The 22,216-nt window shown below is 43.8% G+C and overlaps 1 protein-coding gene across 13 annotated transcripts in view, besides 1 other annotated feature; it reads left to right on the forward strand.

Annotated features, from left to right (window-relative positions):
* FNIP2 (folliculin interacting protein 2) overlaps window positions 1-22,216 on the forward strand; it is a 139,025-nt gene that overhangs the window by 95,675 nt on the left and 21,134 nt on the right. For 7 of the 13 annotated variants that reach the window (XM_005263158.3, NM_020840.3, NM_001346043.2 and 4 more), the window contains 2 exons: window positions 3,402-4,728; window positions 5,613-5,769. In XM_005263158.3, the coding sequence (XP_005263215.1) occupies window positions 3,402-4,728; window positions 5,613-5,769 (1,484 nt within the window). Of the gene's footprint in view, window positions 1-3,401; window positions 4,729-5,612; window positions 5,770-6,720; window positions 12,231-14,865; window positions 15,920-21,324; window positions 21,424-22,216 lie in introns of those variants that run through there. The other 6 variants (XM_047416018.1, XM_005263160.4, XM_047416019.1 and 3 more) reach the window with 3 other exon arrangements.
* Window positions 16,454-17,434: an enhancer, noted in NCBI's record as "H3K27ac-H3K4me1 hESC enhancer chr4:159802306-159803286 (GRCh37/hg19 assembly coordinates)". NCBI's record gives its function as "activates a minimal SCP1, AML or CMV promoter by ChIP-STARR-seq in primed H9 embryonic stem cells {active_cell/tissue: H9 hESC(primed)}" and the evidence as "EXISTENCE:reporter gene assay evidence [ECO:0000049][PMID:30033119]".

A 22,216-nucleotide genomic window follows, 5' to 3' on the forward strand; every position in this document is an offset into this window, starting at 1 on the left:
ACTTTTCACTATTGTTCCCCTCAACAGTTCTTTCCTTTCTTCTCCCTCTTCCTCCCTCTTTGTTTTCTTTTTCTCTACATGTTTTACCCTCCTGGCTGTTATCTCCTCTCCTTCTCCATCCTCTTTTGGCTTCACCCCAGTTCTCTATCATTTTGCACCTCTCTAACATCCCATCTTTTTTCTTTCTGCTTTCCCTTCTCTCTATTCTTCCCTCTTTCTTCCTAAGTTTCTTCTGTCTGTTCCTCTGCTCTCTCCGTCTCTCCCTCCCTGAGTCTCCACTCTGTGTCCCCATTTGCCACCATTCCTTTCTGTGTCCTCCTTTCCTGTGACCTCTTCTCCTACTTTGTCCAGCACCTTTCCTGCTTCCATGCACTCTGTCTTTGGCCTATTTCACTTGGAAGCACGCTTGACTCCTTCACTTTTTCTTCTGCTTTTTCCCCATTTGCCTCTCTTTTAAATTTTTATTTTTAATTGAGGTAAAAAGCATATAACAACATTTATTATCTTAACCATTTCTAAGTGTACAGTTCAGTCATGTTAAGTACATTCACATTGTTGTGCAATTTCTACATTTTAAAAAATTATATTCATGAAAACAAATCTATTCTAAAAATTAGCTTCAATTATCCAAGACTCAAAAAAAAATTGAACTTCCAGTAAATATTTAATATTATGGGTCTACTGTTTTAAAAATGCTTTATTTTATGAAGTTTGGCTATAATGTAATAGCACTGGTTCCACTCACATTGCACTCATTATTTTATATAGTTTAAATGATTATAAATTGTATTTTTAATAACCTTCCTTGTTTTACCATTTCCATTTGTTCCTTAGTTATTAAAATATACAATACTCAAATGCATTGCTAAAAAATAATATTCTAAGTGGTCTTTCCCCTGTAGTTTGTTATACCAGATTTTGGATAAGTAATGCTTCTTCTTTATTAATATTGAAACTGATTTAACAAAAAATATTTCATGAATTCCTGAAATGACTGTTGATATCCTGCGGCAATAGGCAGATGTAATCAAAGTGTTAACAGTAATGAGCTCTTAGAAAGGTTTTCTCAAACAAAAGTCCTAGCTTCAGCCTACAATTCTGAGTTACTCTCTTGAATTCTAGGCTGATTTCTCAGTCACTTGCAAACGCCTCTCAGTTAAAGCTCTATCAGCCTATAATCTAGTCATTTTATAGAGAGGATTGTTTATTATTATTTATGTCTTGCCATTTGAATGTTCTTAGGAACCGTACACAAGGGAATACTCGCAGAAGGAGGTATTTCTTAATGGGTCCCAGGGGGAGGTACTTTCCGATGGTTCTCATAACTTTTTTCCCATACTCATCTATTTTAATTAGTTTTATCTAGTATATGCCCTTATAACTGCTTTCCCTCCTCTCTAGATGCATTCCTCAGAGGGTTTCTAACTTCCTACATTCTGATTTGTACTGATTACCATGTATCAGTTCTCCTTTATTTAGTATCTTTTCAGCTTTTGATTTGTTCCAATATTCTGGTTATTCTTTTTTTTTTTTTTTGAGACAGAGTCTTGCTCTGTCACCCAGGCTGGAGTGCGGTGGCGTGATCTCGGCTCACTGCAACCTCTGCCTCCCGGGCTCAAGCGATTCTCCTGCCTCAGCCTCCCGAGTAGCTAGGTTACAGGTGTCTGCCACCACGCCTGGCTAATTTTTGTATTTTGGGTAGAGACGGGGTTTCACCCTGTTGGCCAGGCTGGTCTCGAACTCCTGACCTCAAGTGATCCGCCCACCTCGGCCTCCCAAAGTGCTGGAATTACAGGTGTGAGCCACCGTGCCCAGCCCTCTGATTATTCTTTAATGGGTTTCTAACTCCAGTTTGATTATACAAAGATACAATGAGACACATCTTTTTTTATGAGATGGAGTTTTGCTCTTGTAGCCCAGGCTGGAGTGCGGTGGCGACACCTTGGCTCTCTGCAATGTCTGCCTCCCGGGTTCAAGTTATTCTCCTGCCTCAGCCTTCCTAGTAGCTGGGATTACAGGTGTCTGCCACCACACCTGGCTAATTTTTTGTATTTTTGGCAGAGACAGGGTTTCAGCATGTTGGCCAGGCTGGTCTCAAACTCCTGACCTCAGGTCATCCACCTGCCTCAGCCTCCCAAAGGGCTGGGATTACAGGCATGAGCCACCGCACCCAGCTGAGATACATCTTTAGGGTCTTAACACAGTGCCTGTCCAGTTAGTAAACATAGGTTCTTTATTATAATTGTCCATCTTCTTATCAAATGTGTAACTTATTATAAAATGTAATAATCAAATTATCAAATGCAGTAGTTTTAATAGTTAGGCACTGAAGTACTTTTGATGAAAAGCTTATTGCTGGGTGGTTGGATGACACATTTGCCCTTATTGTCTCCTCCTTAAGCTGACTGTAGAGCTCACAGTACATTAGTCAGTTTTTAATCAACTTGTCAGGATATATAACTAATGGGACATACTTTTTTCCAGTTGAATTTTCTTTTCTGTTTTTTTCTGAGACAGAGTCTCATGCTGTTGCCCAGGCTGGAGTGCAGTGGTGCCATCTCAGCTCACTGCAACCTCTGGCTTCCAGGTTCAAGCAATTCTCCTGCCTTGACCTCTCAAGTAGCTGGGACTACAGGTGCACACCAGCACGCTCGCCTAATTTTTGTATTTTGGGTAGAGACGGGGTTTTGCCATGTTGGCCAGGCTGCTCTCAAACTCTTGACCTAAGGTGATTGCCTGCCTCAGCCTCCCAAAGTGCTGATATTACAGGCATAAGCCACTGCGCCTGGCCCAGTTGAATTTTCAAGCGAAATGAAATAAAACCTTCAGACTCATTCATGACTAAGTGATTTTCTTCTTGTTAATCAAGCTGATTCTACTTGGTGTGTGTATGCGTATTAAGATAATTCTGTGTAGACCACCTCATTAAGTATTTTGAATTAATTCACTGCACTTCTGTTGAGAAATTCCTAAATTTGGATTTTATCCCAAGGCCCAATGTCCTGGGATTCTTCCAACAAATTCTTATTATTCTAGTTTCCAAGATATAGTATTAGATCTGGTCACATATTCAGAGCTCTGGCTTTAGCCTTCTTTGGGCCATCTCATTGGCTGACCCACTGAGCTGCAGGGAAGACCCAGCAGGCAATGGGAGGGGCTGTGGGCACAGCAGCACGACTCCCACACACCAGGGGTGGTGGGCCACAGCCTGTGTCCAGACTGACTCACTTACAGTGGCAAAACTAAAACGTGGTCCTTACTAGAGAGTAGAAATCATGAGTCTGAAGCAGGGACTCCAGATTGGGAATATAAGTTATCTGTTTTGCTCTTGTAAAGACGGATATATCTGTGACATGCTAACCCCAGAGACCACTGCCTTTGTGTCCACCTTTGCTCTCTAGGTGATCTTTACGGAGCCATAGGCTCTCCAGTGAGACTGACTCGCACCGTAGTGGTAGGGAAGCAGAAGGACTTAGTCCAGCGAATACTTTATGTCCTGACCTACTTTCTCCGTTGCTCTGAGCTACAAGAGAACCAGCTGACCTGGAGTGGCAATCATGGTGAAGGTGACCAAGTTTTAAATGGGAGCAAGATCATAACAGCCTTGGAGAAAGGAGAGGTGGAGGAGTCTGAGTATGTGGTCATTACGGTGAGGAACGAGCCCGCTCTTGTACCCCCCATCCTACCACCAACAGCAGCAGAGAGACACAACCCCTGGCCGACAGGGTTTCCTGAGTGCCCAGAGGGCACTGACAGTAGAGACCTGGGTCTTAAACCTGACAAAGAAGCTAACAGGAGGCCAGAGCAGGGTTCTGAGGCTTGCAGCGCAGGGTGCCTGGGGCCAGCATCAGACGCTTCCTGGAAACCTCAGAATGCATTTTGTGGGGATGAGAAAAATAAAGAGGCACCGCAAGATGGCTCTTCAAGACTTCCCAGCTGTGAAGTTTTGGGGGCAGGAATGAAGATGGACCAGCAAGCTGTCTGTGAGCTGTTGAAAGTGGAGATGCCTACAAGACTGCCAGACCGGTCAGTGGCCTGGCCTTGCCCTGACAGACATCTCCGGGAGAAACCTTCCTTAGAAAAGGTCACTTTCCAGATTGGAAGCTTTGCATCTCCAGAGTCTGACTTTGAAAGCCGCATGAAAAAAATGGAGGAACGGGTGAAGGCCTGTGGCCCCTCCTTGGAGGCCAGTGAGGCTGCTGATGTGGCTCAGGACCCGCAGGTTTCTAGGAGCCCTTTTAAACCTGGCTTTCAGGAGAATGTTTGCTGTCCTCAGAATCGGCTTTCAGAGGGGGATGAAGGCGAGTCTGACAAGGGTTTTGCAGAGGACAGAGGCAGCAGAAACGACATGGCAGCAGATATTGCTGGGCAGCTCAGCCACGCTGCTGACTTGGGCACAGCCTCCCACGGTGCAGGAGGAACGGGAGGGAGGAGGCTGGAGGCCACTAGAGGTTTGTATGTGAAGGCTGCGGAAGGACCTGTGCTGGAGCCTGTTGCCCCCAGGTGTGTCCAGCGGGGCCCTGGCCTCGTGGCTGGTGCGAATATCCCCTGTGGGGATGACAACAAGAAGGCCAACTTCAGGACTGAAGGAGACATTCCCCGAAATGAAAGCTCAGATAGCGCCCTGGGAGACAGTGACGACGAAGCCTGCGCTTCAGCCATGCTAGATCTGGGTCACGGTGGTGACAGGACTGGAGGGTCCTTGGAAGTGGAGCTGCCTCTGCCAAGGTAACTCCAGCAGGCTGGGAAGTAGAGGGAACTGGGTTCAAATCCCACTTTCCTGGCCTGACACCTGTGATGTTGTTAGCCACTACTATTGTCTGCTTTACACACAGTATCTTTTTTTCCACAAAGTACTAGAAGTATTATTAATTCTATACAAACGGTTTCCCACCTGTCCTTCTTCCAAGGATGGTCACTGGCTTAGCACCACTGAGCTCACTGGGACAGGTGGCCAGTGGTTGTCTTTGCAGCTATCGTGATCCTTTGGGGAAGCCTAAGGGATGTGGTGGAGATGGGGGAGGGAATAGGGAGTTTAATTTTCTGTCAACTGCAGAGAAGGTCCGTGGCTGGCAGCAGATGCCTTGCTTCAGAGGTGGTGGATTACACTCGCCGTGTGGCCTCTCTCCTGCCGATCAGAGCAGCGTGAGGTGGTTGGGAAACAACACCTCTTTCTTAACACTCCATCAGGTTGATTATTTGGTCTGTAATGACTGAAAGCAGTAATTAGAAATTTCTTCTGTTCTTCCGCACTGTCGTGGGCACCACTCTGTGCAGATATGTCAGATTCCTAAAGCCAGGCTTTTGGCAAGAGCCCTTCCTGAAACATTTTCTTTGGTCAGTATTTTGACACAGACTGCCTGGTGGATGTCCAATATGAGGTACAAAAACAAACTCATAACTAGCCATGGATAGTTTTTTTTTCTTCCAGCCTTCCACTTTAAAAAACTCCCTTTTCTCCCACCTGTGATCCACTTACTTGAGGGTTGGTGACATGGACCACCCTGAATCTATTTTATTTACCTGTATCATTGGAGTGCTTGTACCAATTATAATGAAAGAAAAAAGTACATTTTTAGCTGTGCATTTTAATGGGCCACATGTTGTTTTAGGTCTCAGAGCATCAGCACCCAGAATGTAAGGAACTTTGGCCGCTCACTTCTGGCGGGCTACTGCCCCACATACATGCCTGATCTTGTGCTTCATGGGACCGGCAGTGATGAGAAGCTGAAGCAGTGCCTGGTGGCCGACCTTGTCCACACAGTCCATGTAAGTGATCCCAGTGTGGAGCCTCTGGCTGCTGACAGTGTGTCAGTCAAGGTCTTGGCTGACAACAGGTGTTTAGACTGAAGAGAGACTAGTTAAGGGGTTGTTTATGGAGATGTGGGCAGGGTTATGGGAACCAGCTAGGGCTAGTGAGGCACCTGGGGCCTAGCAGCAGCTGGAAGCTAGAAAGCACACCTGGGCCTGACAGAGTAAGGGGAGGGTGCGTGACATCAGAGCCCTGGAGAACCTAAGCCAGGACGAGGGGCGGCCTGGCTGCAGGAGCAGTGAGGAGGGGGTGACTTCCTGCCATCCCTCCTCCCATTCTCTGGTCTCTTTCTGGTGCCTCTCATTGGCTGAGCCCGGCTGAAAGCCAGAGAGCAGGGGCACAGCTGATGCAGACACACAGCCTTGTGGTGCATAGAGGTCAGCCTCCTGGGGCCCAGAACAGAACACAGAAGGGCAAGGAGCTGCTCTGGGGGTGGTGGGTTAGCAGATAGGCTGGGCAAATGGAATAAACAGCACAGATGGTGACAATTATATGCCGTCACGGTGAGGACCGAAGAGGTGTCACATGTGGTTTGTTTTTTATCTGATGCTTAAACAAGTTCCTAAAAGTAATTTATTTTAACTGATTTGTCATTAAGTTCACTTTGATGGCTGCATGAGGATGACTGTATAAAGATTAATAAGTCTCACTGAAAAAATTGCCTCGTGGCTGCTATTAAGTGCTTTTCTGCTATCTGCAGGGCAACAGGAACTAAGCAGTTAAGGAAACTGTCAATCTGATGGGCCTGTTTTTAACTGAGCTGTTATTGGGCAGATGTGCAAAAATAGACATTTTGTATTAGAAACATTTTGTATCTTGTGCAATAGGGAAAGTCCTCATCGCATTAAGAAAATCAGAATTTGGCCTGTTACCTACCTCCTTGGCCAACAAGTATTTTTTTTTTTGAGGTGGAACAAAAGGCATTGCATGTTATCTTTGGCCTTGAGCATCTCCTCTGTGAAGACCAAACATCAGGCACAGGCTAAACAGGCTAAGTATATTTATGTGAAGTGGGAAAAAAACTCAGTAGTGAAGCAGATGTCAACATAACCTCCCTCAATGGGGAGGGCTAAGAGATGAGGATAGGGCCATCAGAAGCTGGGGAAAGCCAGCCCAGTGTACACGTGTGTGGCCAAACGTTCCTAACCCCACCCCTGCTTTGTGGTCACATGCCACCCCTCACCAGGATACTCCTGGGATGAAACTATGAAGTTGCTTTTGTCCCTATAATATCATAATTATTTAATATCATAATTTCTCTTTATAGTTATGAACACCATATAGTCATTTATCATTTCATGAGTCCATGCATCAATGACCCCTGTAAGAAAAATGCCCTCATTGTATAATGCTAAGTTGTCCAAAACGATGTCTGATGCTTTGGCAATTTCACAGGCTGTATTTATGTGTGTTTAGTAACTGCCTATAACATTAAGGCACCTTTTCTGTCCGCTCCTATTGTTTATATTCACACATGCCAAACTGTGAGTTGTTTTTTTTTTTCTGCTCTGCTATCATTTTGATTTCTAACAATATTGGTGTTGGTTATTGGACCTTCCTTCCATGAAGCCCAGTGAGCTGCTTCTGACAGAGGTACCAAGAGACTACAGGGGAACTAATGGGATTGTCCTCAGTGACATCAGTTTTACCAGCTGGGGACTTTGTTTGAATGCCCTGGATTTACTCACTGACCACTCTGGAAATGCAATCTATTGATTGATAACCCTCCTTGAACTTATCTGTAAAACCATTCATGAAATATTTTATGTTTCCATAGGCTGGCAAGTTCTCATTTTTGTGTGTTAGATTTTCATGGTGACCCTCTGGCTCTATAATTCTTTTATTTGAAAAAACACAACCATGTTTACTCTGTCATTACTCTTCAAGCTTTTTCGTATTTCATTTTCCCTTCCTTTTAGAAGGAGTGTTTTCACACTGTAGCTTTTCTCATTTCTTTATGCAATCACCCTGAGAGATCGAAAGTTATTAAGCATAATAACCTATATTGTGTCAAATTGTGGGTACATCCAAAGTGCAGCCATGCGTGGGTGTTAATAGGAAATTCCAAAGGGTTCATAAAAATATCTTCAGAAGTTTAATACATTCAGAATATATCCAATTAGCATTAGTGGATTTCTAATTTCACTTGACACATTCATCATAATGAATTTTGCTTTTGAAGTAGTGTTCTGTTTAAACTGGCGCTCTGGTCTATGGTAGTGTTTTTTTTTTTTTTTTTAAAAAACAGGCTTACTTTCAACATCCATTTACAAACATTTGTTGAAAAATATTTTAGGAGTATTTGTTTAAACATTATTCCGAATTTACTGCTCCATAAAGCCTAGTGAATATTTAAATTCTTGAATATGTTGCCAGAAAAAGAAGCAGAGATCCAAAAACAAGTATATGACCAGAGTTAGAGCTGAAATAATAGCTTGTTGAAGAAGAGAAAATTGTAATAAATTGCTTTATCAAACTTGCTTTCAAAACCTGTTTTTTAAGTTGGGCACAGTGGCTCACGCCTGTAATCCCAGCACTTTGAGAGGCCAAGGTGGGTAGATCACGTGAGCTCAGGAGTTCAAGACCAGCTTGGGCAACATAGCAAGACTTCATCTCAAAAATAAAATAGCGTTAAAAAAAAAAAAAGAAAAAACAAACCTATTTTTTGAACATTAATTTCAGTGCTCATGCTAGATTTCAGCAGGCTTTGGTACTCATAATTCTTTTTAGAGAAGGATTTTTAACTGTTTAAAAGCAATTGATTCCAGTTATTGATCTCTTTTCTAGACCTGTGCACAATTTGGATTTAATAATCTGTCTTATGTAAATTAAATGTGGTGGTTTTTTTTGTTTTGTTTTGTTTTTGTTTTTGTTTTTGTTTTTTTTGAGGTGGGATCTTCCTGTATTGCCCAGGCTGGACTTGAACTGGGCTCATGTGATCCTGCCTCATTCTCCCAAGTAGACAGGATTATAGGCACAGGCCACTGTACCTGGCTCTAAATGTACACTTTTATAACTGCTAGTTTGGAGTTTTTCTCTCATTGAGAGATTGCTTTGTAATGCTTCCAATGTTAAGAATTTTTTTGTACTTTTCTTATCCTAGTCTCTTATGAAAGAAAGATATAGTAACTACTTCATCAATTTTCATTTTTATTACTGACTTTCACATATCAAGATTCAGAAGTTCTTTAAATATTTAAACACGTATTCTTGTTTAGTCCATATACTACCTCTTTTCTGTCATTTGAACTCTCTCTGCCTCCTAATATATAGGTTATACAGCTGCCTTAAATTAGTGTAAAGTAATACGGTTTCAGTTTTTTTCTTGCCACATCTTGTGCATTCTTTCCTCTGTTTTCCTTTTGACTTTAAATGGAAAGAGAGCAGGCGTATGCGCCAGCAGCATTCTATGCCTGTGACTCCTGAGTAGCCTTTTCCCTCTCCTTTTTCCTCTTGTGTCTGGCCTGTGAATACAGCTGACTGTATACAGGGTTACTGTTGGGGTTATTGTGGGGCAGTGTAAGGTGATGAAGATCTCACTGACTTAGTGTTGATGGCTTGAGTTTGAGTCCTGGTATTACCACTCGTTTGTTGATAATCTTAGGTAAATAAACTGGCATTGCTAAGCCCCAGAAAAATGTATTTAGTGGAACAGATGAAATATGATTCAGTGGTTAGGAAGTTAACTTCTGAAGACAGACAAACCTAAGTTTGAATCATGGTTCACCCCTTAGTGGCTTTGTGGCCTTGGGCAAGTTTCTTTAATTTTCTTATCTATACTGTGAACAGTACTTACATCATAGGTTTGGTCTGAAGATTCTGTGAGATAATGCATATCAAGTGGTTAGCACTTTGCCAGGCACATTGTTAAGTGCCCAATAAATGTGGGCCAAATGTGATAGCTCACCCCTGTAATGCCAGAGCTTTGGGAGGATCCTTTGAGATCACCCTGGGCAATATAGCAAAATCCCATCTCTAGCAAAAAAAAAAAAATAGCTAGGCATGGTGGCACATGCCTGTAGTCCCAGCTACTCAGGAGACTGAGGCAGAAGGCTTGCTTAAGCCAAATGTTCAATGCTTCAGTGAGCTGTGATCATTGCCACTGCACTCCAGCCTGGGTAACAGAGCAAGACCTCATCTCAGTAAATAATAATAATAATATATGTAAAAGTGCTTTGTAAATGATACAGCAATATATCATGTTTTTAATATGGGAGAGCAGAATGACAACCATTATTTTCGTAAAAATGAAAATTACTGTCAGAGATAAGAAAGCTATATATGGGCCAGGCACGGTGGCTCATGCCTGTGATCCCAGCACTTTGGGAGGCCGAGGTGGGCTGATTGCCTGAGCTCAGGAGTTTGCGACCAGCCTGGGGAACACAGTGAAACCCCGTCTCTACTAAAATACAAAAAAAAAAAAAAGTTGCCAGGTGTGGCAGCGGGTGCCTGTAGTCCCAGCTACTTGGGAGGCTGAGGCAGGAGAATTGCTTGAACTCGGGAGGCAGAGAGGTTGCAGTGCGCTGAGATCATGCCACTGCACTCCAGCCTGAGCAATAGAGCGAGACTGTCTCAAAAAAAAAAAAAAAGAAAAGAAAGAGAAAAGAAAGCTATATGCGTATGTACTTAAAGTTCTCCTAACTAGTCAATGGCCTTGTCAATCCCAGGGGACTACTGTTGGGAATGATTGAACAGAACCTGTACACACATTCATTGAGTGCTAAAAGCATTCACTTTTGCTTTGCCCAGGAGCAGACTGGACAGCTCTAACTCTGCAGGGCAGGGTCATCAAGACCAAAATTAACACTACGTTTTGATGTTTTTTAAAAAACAACTATGCTCCAGGGCTTCAAGCATTTTACAGAATAATTTATAAGATGAAGTAACCATTGGATACAGCAGCCTCTTCCATTTAATTTTAAGCGTAGCAACAGATTGACTCCAGAAATATCATGCAGGAATCAGTAGCACAGATAAAGAGCTTTGCTAAAAGCCTGGCTGTGATATATATATATATATATATATATATGCTCATGAATACCTAATTAGTCCATGCAGTGCAATCAACCTGTAGGACTATAAAAGAACAGCAAGTCCCTTCAAATGGTAAATCATTACTTAAGTAACACAGATAACATTAAATACCTCAGGTCAGCAACAACCTTAAAATCAATAGGATACAAAGAAAACATCTATGTAGGACAAATCCACTATTTTGGAACATCTCTCGTTGTTTTCTTTTCCCCATGTTTGGATAATAAACATGGCAGTGCCTCAGGCCTCTAGCACTGTCTTCTATAGCCACAGCCCTCAATACAACACTACCTATGTCCACTGGCCTATGGAGCACTTTTAAAACTACATATTTTGACCTATAAATGGGTTTTGATTACCAGTTTTTTTAATGATATAGAACTAAAATCATCACACATTAGGCTTCTTATTGATTAGTGAAACCTTTGTATTATGTGTGTGTGTATTTATACACATGTGCACACATGTCACACTTGTATGCATATGGCATGTCATGCCAGGTTATGTCATATAAGCATGTATGCCAGGTCATGATGTTAAAATGTATTTCTTATCATGGATTGTGGTTAAAAAAAATACTGATCTCTGGGTATCCCCAACTCCAATCTGAAATCATTGTGATTCTCTCGCCTTCTCAATGTGACTAGTCTTTTTAAAGTTCCTTTTGATCTTCCCAAATGGCATCCCTGTGTCCACTTTACCCACTTCCACCGCCTTGTGCAGTGCTGCAAGAGGACTTTCTAAAGCATGAGACAATCATTTACTCTTTTGCTTGAATAGCTTCCTATTTTCTAAGAGACTAAACTGTAAACTCCATAGCTGGAATTGCCCCTTTTATGTCCTTCAAATATACACACATACCCCTGTATCTCCTCTTATGCCCCAGTAACACTGTTTGCCATTCTTTAAATAGTCCACCTTTCCTCACACCTCTCTGCCTATCAGATTATGCTTTCTTTGCCTAGGACACTATTGAACAAACTTTTTTACATTTTTGAAGACCCATTTCATATGTTGCCTCTTCTTCAAAATCATTCCAGGCCCCATATCCCTGTTCTGTTCCAGATGTGTTCCTCTACTAGGGCTTCAGGTGCCTTGAAGCAGAAAGCAGGGACTTTATTTTCCTTATATTCCCAGCACCTTGCCTGGTGCCTGGCACATAGAAAGTGCTCACTAACGTTAGTTGACTCTTCCCCATAAAACTGGGGTTAGAGTCATGTGTGTCTATTACTTTAGTGTGGCCCTTTCTTCTGAAGTAAAGAGAGATGGGAGATGATCTTTCTTTAAAGAAACTTAAAGGGGAAGAGTAAGATGTTTAGACATGCCTGCAGCTCTGTGTGTTCATTGTCGTTACCTAAAGGAAAATAAAAGCTTATTATAGGTCTCTTGGGCTTCATGTCTCTTGCATCGTGTCAGAGTTAGACACATGTCTAATTTTGATGTTTTTCCCAAAATGTTTTACTACCTACAAGATATTTGAACATCTGTGCCATTCTCTGCAAAAAAGCTACCAACCCTCTCTCATTTTATTTTGGAGTTCCATATCTCATCATGTAACTTGATTCTGATACCCTTTCTGACCTTGAGCACCTCTTCTCAACTTCCGACTGAATTTTACTCAGCAAGTGGCCAGCCTGAAAGTGCAGCCATTCCAGAAGTTATGTACGGTATCTTCAAGGCCACGGATTGAATTTGGGCCCTAATCAGGTGAGCACAGGCACAGATACACAGAAGATCAGACATTTTCCCGGAACCCCTCCAGACCATCTTGCCACACTTTGAACCCTTTCTTCTTTCCCTCTACCCCTAAGTCTTCATACTGTCTTCATGTATACCTACAAGGATCCCTTAGCAATGTCCCAAGGTCCAAAATGATTAATTTTCCTCTTCCTCTTGTTTACCTTAGTACAACTCTTAAGCCTTTAGTGACTGACATTAAACCTGTTTCCAAGAGAAAAATTTCTGATAAGCAAATGCTTTTAGAGTTATGATAAGGCCATATGTGATTGTTACCCCTTCTGGTATTTTCATGTGTTAAAAATATGTTTGATGCACTAGAAATCTCCAGTGGTGGCACTTCAGGTGGTCGAGATAACTCGTGTCACCTGATGGGGCAGAGATGCTTTTGGGTTAGAGTGGGGAGAGTCACACCTGAGAGATTTATCAGTTGAAAAATACTTATCAGGTATCTTTTATGTGCTTGGTACTGTGTTTATAGCAGTAGTCAAAATCTGAAGTAGAATTAGCAGGGGCGTGATGGCTGTGTGCCCAGGGTCCCAGCTACTCAGGAGGCTGAGGTGGGAGAATGATTTGAGCTCTGGAGGTCGAAGCTGCAGTAAGCTATGATGGAGCCACTGCACTCCAGCCTGGGTGAAAGAGTGAGACCCCGTCTCCTCCCCCACCCCCCCTCACCCACCGACCAGCCAAAAAAAAGATCTGAGGTAGGAGGATTCCAGCAACATGTACTAAACTGGTGTGGATGGCATGCCTCCCCTCTAAAACTATATAGTGATGGATAAAATATCACCATCCTCACTGCTGCCCCATTGTTATAATTCCTGTCATGAAAAAAAATGGAAATCCTTTTGTGCCAGAGATAAATGGAAATCTAAACCAAAGCAGTAAGCATGAGCTGGTCCTCCAGGATTTCAGTCTTGATACAGGTCCTAGGAATTGGGTGCTGAGTTCTCAGATTCACCCGAGGATGAAAGACTGTGGTCTTGTGTGCATGTAAGGCTTGAGACCTGGAATCAAGCCCCTTACCTAAAGTCTGGAGCTTCAAAGAACTATTCTTCCATGAAAAGGAGACTAGAAATCACCAGACATAAGCAGTGAAGCAGCAAAGAAACAGGCTGGAAACAGGTTAGGGAAAATAAAGTCACCCATGAGAAATCAAAACCCCCTGTCTGTGCTATTTGTGGGTTTCAGGTCCAGATTTATTCTACCCGAGTGATTTGCGAATCCCTACCCAAGAAATAAACATAAAACCAGAAGCATAGAAACCTTTAGGACTCTGGCAGAAGGAAGCACACTACTTTAGACACTTCTACAACCACAAGCTTATGAGACGCATATAGGAAAATGAAACATAGCTCCAGTAAGATAGGCCCACGTTCAGAAATTACAAACATATGTGGGAAACCAGGAAATCATCATGAGTGGAGGGCAAGCGCATACAAGCAGGAGAATCAGCACTCCTCCAGTTGGCAATAACTATTAAAGTAGCCATGTTTAAAGTGTTTACGGTGATAAAAAGAAGGAATTGGAACCTTAAAAAAAAGAGAGGATAATGTGATAAATGATCATTTAGATTCATGTAAGAACTAAAAACAACTTCTAAAATTGAAAAATAGTCCCTGAAATTAAAACTCCAGGTATAGGTTAAAGAACAGAGCAGATTAAATACAGCTAAAGATAATTAGAATTTGAAATGGAGGCTACTTAAGAAATTATGTTTTTGAGCTCTGAGACAAAAAGACATGAAAAATATCAAAGAGCAAGTAAAAGATGTGGTGGCCAGAGTGAAGAGACTTTATAGCATATGCAGAAAGAGAATAGAGAAAATGAGGGAAAGTAATATTCAAAGAAAGAATGGCTGGCATTTTTCAGGTTAAGTAAGCACACTGACTCCCAAGTAGGGAGAATATTAACAAATTCACACTTAACAACTGGACATCAAAGATAAAGAAAACTCTTAGAAGTAGCTAGAGAGAAGAAGACATGGCATCTGTCCTCAGGGAGTTTGCGATCTAACAGGAAATAGAAATAAGTCAGCAGTGAAAATAGTGTGGTCAAGTGTGTGGCAGCAGGAGGCCAGGGTGCTGAGAACGTGCGCACAAGGCGGCTGTGGTGAGGACTCAGCTAGGGTCAGTAGCAGAGTGAGGATGAGAAGCAGGGAAGAGTGCAGGGCATAGTATGGCTTTTTCAGGGAACTGAAGCCCCTTTCGCTGATGACCCCTTCAGCATATCTCAGAGCTGGCTTTGCCACCAACAGGAGGTCTGTCTGTCCCCTCTTTCAGTAAAACTGCTGTCAGGAATGTCTACTCAACATGGGATCTAATTAAAGAGCTTCTGCATGGCAAAAGAAACTACCATCAGAGTGAACAGGCAACCTACAGAATGGGAGAAAATTTTTGCAATCTACCCATCTGACAAAGGGCTAATATCCAAATCTACAAAGAACTTAAACAGATTTACAAGAAAAAAGCTAACAACCCCATCAAAAAGTGGGCAAAGGATATGAACAGACACTTCACAAAAGAAGACATTTATGCAGCCAACAGACACATGAAAAAATGCTCACCATCACTGGCCATCAGAGAAATGCAAATCAAAACTACAGTGAGATACCATCTCACACCAGTTAGAATGGCAATAATTAAAAAGTCAGGAAACAACAGGTGCTGGAGAGGATGTGGAGAAATAGGAACACTTTTACACTGTTGGTGGGACTGTAAACTAGTTCAACCATTGTGGAAGACAGTGTGGCGATTCCTCAAGGATCTAGAACTAGAAATACCATTTGACCCAGCCATCGCATTACTGGGCATATACCCAAAGGATTATAAATCATGCTGCTATAAAGACACATGCACACGTATGTTTATTGTGGCACTATTCACAATAGCAAAGACTTGGAACCAACCCAAATGCCCATCAATAATAGACTGGATTAAGAAAATGTGGCACATATACACTACGGAATACAATGCAGCCATAAAAAATGATGAGTTCATGTCCTTTGTAGGGACATGGATGAAGCTGGAAACCATCATTCTCAGCAAACTATCGCAAGGACAGAAAACCAAACACCGCATGCTCACTCATAGGTGGGAATTGAACAATGAGAACACATGGACACAGGAGGGGGAGCATCACACACTGGGACCTGTGGTGGAGTGGGGGGAGTGGGGAGGGATAGCATTAGGAGATATACCTAATGTAAATGACGAGTTAATGGGTGCAGCACACCGACATGGCACATGTATACATATGTAACAAACCTGCACGTTGTGCACATGTACCTTAGAACTTAAAGTATAATAATAATAAAAAAAATTCTAGCTGACTTTATATATTGGAGGAGATGGTTTAAGAATAATGAGTGATAACCAGATTTCTTTTCTCTGGATGGATTTGAGACTGAAGGGGTTTTTTGGTTTGTTTTTATTTTTTTAAAAACTGGTCTACAATTCACACACCTCTGCAGTCCTTTTAGTGGCTCTCAGTCATCCTAGTGGGGTGTGTTGGCCAAGGACGACCTTGTATGGTCTGAATCTTCAGTTCCAAGGCTATGGAGGATGCAGTTATATAGGTGGGTCTTCTCCTCTGAGGAGGCAGAGGAATACCAAAGGGGATCTGAGGACCTTTAAGAGTAGTGCTGAGAAGGTGACTGTCATCACATTCATCATGAGCTCTTTGCATGACTGACTAAAGGCCTTTCTTACAGCTACATAAAAGCTAATATTAAGTCATGGTGCTGTAACATAAGGAGAATTATTGTGGAAAGGTATTTTGTCATGTAGCATCCTCTTATTAAAGTACAGTTTAATAAATGTATTAAACTTACCAGAATTATATAAAATGAATAACAAATGGGAGTTCAAATGAAGCCAAAGACTCTCCCTCTCCCTCTCCGTCTCCCTCCACGGTCTCCCTCTCCCTCTCTTTCCACGGTCTCCCTCTCCCTCTCTTTCCACGGTCTCCCTCTCCCTCTCTTTCCACGTTCTCCCTCTCCCTCTCTTTCCACGGTCTCCCTCCCTCTCTCTTTCCACCGTCTCGTCTCCCTCTCCCTCTCTTTCCACGGTCTCCCTCTCCCTCTCTTTCCACGGTCTCCCTCTCCCTCTCTCTCTCTTTCCACGGTCTCCCTCTCCCTCTCTTTCCACGGTCTCCCTCTCCCTCTCTTTCCACGGTCTCCCTCTCCCTCTCTTTCCACGGTCTCCCTCTGATGCTGAGCCGAAGCTGGACTGTACTGCTGCCATCTCCGCTCACTGCAAGCTCCCTGCCTGATTCTCCTGCCTCAGCCTGCCAAGTGCCTGTGATTGCAGGCGCGTGCCGCCACGCCTGACTGGTTTTCGTATTTTTTTGGTGGAGACGGGGTTTCACTGTGTTGGCCGGGCTGGTCTCCAGCTCCTAACCGCGAGTGATCTGCCAGCCTCGGCCTCCCGAGGTGCTGGGATTGCAGACGGAGTCTCGTTCACTCAGTGCTCAATGTTGCCCAGGCTGGAGTGCAGTGGCGTGATCTCGGCTCGCTACAACCTCCACCTCCCAGCCGCCTGCCTTGGCCTCCCAAAGTGCCGAGATTGCAGCCTCTGCCTGGCCGCCACCCCGTCTGGGAAGTGAGGAGCGTCTCTGCCTGGCCGCCCATCGTCTGGGATGTGAGGAGCCCCTCTGCCTGGCTGCCCAGTCTGGGAAGTGAGGAGCGCCTCTTCCCGGCCGCCATCCAGTCTAGGAAGTGAGGAGTGTCTCTGCCCAGTCTCTGCCCGGCCGCCCATTGTCTGAGATGTGGGGAGTGCCTCTGCCCCACCGCAACCCTGTCTGGGAGGTGAGGAGCGTCTCTGCCTGGCCGCCCCGTCTGAGAAATGAGGAGCCCCTCTGCCCGGCAGCCGCCCCATCTGAGAAGTGAGGAGCCCCTCCGCCCAGCAGCCGCCCCGTCTGAGAAGTGAGGAGCCCCTCCGCCCGGCAGCCGCCCCGTCTGAGAAGTGAGGAGCCCCTCCGCCTGGCAGCCACCCCGTCTGGGAAGTGAGGAGCGTCTCCGCCCGGCAGCTGCCCCATCTGGGAGGGAGGTGAGGGGCAGCCCCCGTCCGGCCAGCCGCCCCGTCCGGGAGGGAGGTGGGGGGCGCCTCCGCCCGGCCACCACCCCGTCCGGGAGGTGGGGGGTGCCTCTGCCTGGCCGCCCCTTCTGGGGAGTGAGGAGCCCCTCTGCCTGGCCGCCACCCCGTCTGGGAGGTGTACCCAACAGCTCATTGAGAACGGGCCATGATGACGATGGCGGTTTTGTCGAATAGAAAAGGGGGAAATGCGGAGAAAAGATAGAGAAATCAGATTGTTGCTGTGGCTGTGTAGAAAGAAGTAGATATAGGAGACTCCATTTTGTTCTGTACTAAGAAAAATTCTTCTGCCTTGGGATGCTGTTGATCTATGACCTTACCCCCAACCGGGTGCTCTCTGAAACATGTGCTGTGTCCACTCAGGGTTAAATGGATTAAGGGCGGTGCAAGATGTGCTTTGTTAAACAGATGCTTGAAGGCAGCATGCTCCTTAAGAGTCATCACCACTCCCTAATCTCAAGTACCCAGGGACACAAATACTGCGGAAGGCCGCAGGGTCTTCTGCCTAGGAAAACCAGAGACCTTTGTTCACTTGTTTATCTGCTGACCTTCCCTCCACTATTGTCCTATGACCCTGCCAAATCCCCCTCTGTGAGAAACACCCAAGAATGATCAATTAAAAAAAAAAAGCAAAGAAAAATTTATATATTACTCATTTATTAATAAATCAGAAACTACAAGAAGCTATCACCCAAAAAAAATAAAATAAATAAATAAAATCAAGCTAACACACACAAAAAAAAAATGAAGCCAAAGAATCATGTGTTTTATTATCCAGAATATCTCAGAGAAAAACATAGAGAGAAGTGCTTCCAATTACCTGAATCATAAGTTGCCTGTTCCCTTTGTGTGTGTGTGTGTTTTTTGTTTTTTTTGTTTTTTTGAGACGGAGTCTGGCTCTGTCGTCCAGGCTGGAGTGCAGTGGCGCAGTCTCGGCTCACTGCAAGCTCCGCCTCCTGGGTTCACGCCATTCTCCTGCCTCAGCCTCCCGAGTAGCTGGGACTACAGGCGCCCGCCACTATGCCCGGCTAATTTTTTGTATTTTTAGTAGAGACGGGGTTTCACCGTGTTAGCCAGGATGGTCTCGATCTCCTGACCTTGTGATCCGCCCACCTCAGCCTCCCAAAAGCCTGGGATTACAGGCGTGAGCCATCGCGCCCAGCCTCCCTTTGTGTTTTAAAGAGGCTTCCCAGTGGCTTATCCCTGATAGTTAAACCCACACTGTTATAACTATTGTGCAGATTTTAGATCTGGTTATGAATACAGAAGTCTTCACACTCCTGCTCTCTGTAATACACATGTGGGCTGAGACATCTCTGAAGATTGATAAAGGGTCAGTGTCAAGCAGCATAAAGATGGGGAACTTGTAGCAACATGCATGATAGAAGTGGCTGTGTTTTCTCCTAATGACAATAAATTCAGACCATCATTCACACTTCTTGCACTCTTGTCTTCTAAGGGATTTCCTTGGATTTTATAGTAGAGGGCTTGGGAGACTCATTGGGCTAAAAGTCGGAAACACTTGTGAGTTCCTAGACTTTATTTCTTACATGCCAAGATACTTAATAAGCTCTTTTTTTTTTTTTTTTTTTTGTCCTGAGTGTTCCTATCTGTAGAGCAGTACTGTGTTCCTGCCCCCCTTCAGGAGAAATGGCATGATGAATTAATAAGTAGTTATGGGAAGCATATATGCAAGAACGGCATTTCCTCACTCTTCATTGGGTTAAAAATAGATAATCACGTGAAATACTAGTCATTTAAATGTGGTACATAGAAAAGAAATATATTAATTATGGTGCATTGGAGGTATAATATTGCCAGAAAATAAGAAATGCACAGATTACTTAATAGGAACTGGGTTGCATCCAAAAATAAACTGTTCACCACAGCTAGAATGTATTAGATATTTTGCACATGCCCAGCACTGTGTTATGTTCCTTTCAAAGGCTGCAGAAGAAAAAGAAATGTGATTTATCTCCTTGAGTTACTTATAAAATCACTGAGTAGACAAACATGTGAAATCAAGAACAAGTTAAGACAGTGTGTGATGAAGTGCCAAAATGAATGGTGTGGACAGCAAGTATTCTCAGAGGTCAAAGGAAGAGCAGTGCAGTGCATGTGGGAAGGTTTCCAGGGCGAGGGATGGACTCACGCCAGGTCCTTGAGGGATTGTGGACTTGAGATGGGGTGGCAGGGAAGGCATTCTGGGCACAACCTGAGGTAAGAGCAGGAATCTTTTTGGCCTGGAGAAGGAGGCTGTACTAGTCCCACTTTCACACAACTGTAAAGTACTGCCCAAGACTGGGTAATTTATAAAGGAAAGAGGTTTAATTGACTCACAGTTCTGCAGGGCTGGGGAGGCCTCAGGAAACTTACAATCATGGCGGAAGGTGAAGGAGAAGCAAGTACCTTCTTCACAAGGCAACAGGAGAGAGAGCAAGCGTATGCGAGGAAGTACCACACTTTAAAACCGTCAGCTCTCGGCCAGCCACAGAGGCTCATGTCTGTAATCCCAGCACTTTGGGAGGCCGAGGCAGGCGGATCACTTGAGGCCAGGAGTTTGCGACCAGCCTGGCCAACATGGCAAAACCCTACCTCTGCTAAAAAAAAAAAAAAAAAAAATACAAAAATTAGCTGGGCATGGTGGTGTGTGCCTGTAGTCCCAGCTACTCGGGAGGCTGAGGCACGAGAATCACTTGAGCCTGGGAAGCAGAGGTTGCAGTGAGCCGAGATTGTGCCACTGCACTCCAGCCTGGGCAACAGAGTGAGATTCTGTCTCAAAAAAAATAAAAAAATCAGCTCTCGTGAGAACTCACTATCACGAGAATAGCATGGGGGAAATTGCCCCATGATCCAAACTCCTCCTACCTGTCCCCTTCCTCGACATGGGATTATAATTGGAGATGAGATTTGGGTGGGGACACAGAGCCAAACCATATCAGGGGTCTTATTGGGAACTGAATATGTACAGATTGGGTGGGCCCAGGCTGTGAAGAGCTGTAAGTGTGGAAGAAAGAACAGTTTTAACTTAATGGTTTGGGTGATGTGTGCTAGCGTAGATTTTAGAGTTGGTGAAGGAAATGATCATGTGGTATTTTAAGAAGTTTGAGGTTTTAGGTAAAGTACATAAACTAGGGCAGTGTTGTCCACAGTTGCACTATTTGTGAGCTCCTGAGTCTGAGGTTTCAGGGGACATGGTCAATACAGAGAGAGGGTGGTTCAGGACAGCAGGACGAACATTTGAGCACCTAATGTGTTGGGTTCTATGCTACACGTTTCAACACATTTTTCTCACAGAAAACTTGTGCTTTAAATGGCATTTAAGCCTCACAGAAGCTCTGAACTAAGTACTATCCCATTTTACAGACATAGCAACTGAGGCCCAGATTGAGTTGCTGAGGTTCCACAGCTGGTAAGTGACGGTGGTTGTATTCAAGCCCAATCTGACTTCAGAGCCCTTGCTGTCATCTTATTGTTGCCCTTTGTTGAATTATCAGAACCACAGCTCTTGCGATTCTCTAAACCTTGTAGACAATTTCTTGTTCGTGGAAGTTTAAGTTAAGCAGAAGTCATGTGTATATGAATCAAGGCAGCATATTTTGTGTGTGCGGCAATCTGACCTAAAACCTTGAAATTGGAATGTCCTAGGCATTTAACACTCCCAGGAAATGGACCCATCCTTAGAGGCTACAAATTAACCAGGCTGATCCTGTTGATTCAACAAGCTGTAATAGCAAAGAAAACTCAATAATCTTCTAAAGATTTATAAAACAAGGTATTTCATTTGTTACTCTATCTTGAAAAATCTTCACAGGAAAGTAGTTTGGGTAAACAAGATATTGACAAGGTAGAAATGAATAAATGATTGTTTCTAACTTCTCATATGAGTGCAGCAAGGGGAAAATGATAATGGCATATGGCCTCTACCTCCTTTCTTTCTGGAGACTGGCTGTCCACCTTAACAATTGTCTGCAGCTCCTTACTCACCTCCCATGTTCTTCTATCCGCAAGTCCCTGTCAGAAGTTTCCGAGTTACCCAATTAAGTTTCTGTGGGAGGCATGTAACCTGCTGTTAGTGGTCTGGAGAGGGTGGCAGGAAGGTGCCGGGCTGGCAGCTCTGCATTGATACCCTGGCTGCCGTTGGACACTCAGTGTGGTGTGGGCACTCAGGAGGGTGGCGATAGGGCAGTGCTTTTCTCAGCTGATGGAGGAAGTACAAACATATCGCAGATCCATTCTAATAGGAGAATTTGATAAATTATTTGGACAGGAAACGTATTTCAAAATTGATTCTCCTTAGCTTGAGAGAAAAGAGGGTAATTGATGTCAGCATCCATAAGGTTTGTAAAGTTTCTCAAACAGGCATCTTAAGTGGAATGACTATATTTAATATTAGTGTTTCTCTCAGATTTTCATTTGGAACTCTGAAATGAGGACCTGATTAATCTGAGACAATAATGGTTTGCAGGAGAACTTTTAAAAAAGGTAACTATACAACGTAGGCTTTTTGGTTTGTTTTTCTAGAGATATTTAGTCAAGG

The sequence above is a fragment of the Homo sapiens genome, chromosome 4 (assembly GCF_000001405.40).
Source record: "Homo sapiens chromosome 4, GRCh38.p14 Primary Assembly".
NCBI lineage: Eukaryota > Metazoa > Chordata > Mammalia > Primates > Hominidae > Homo > Homo sapiens.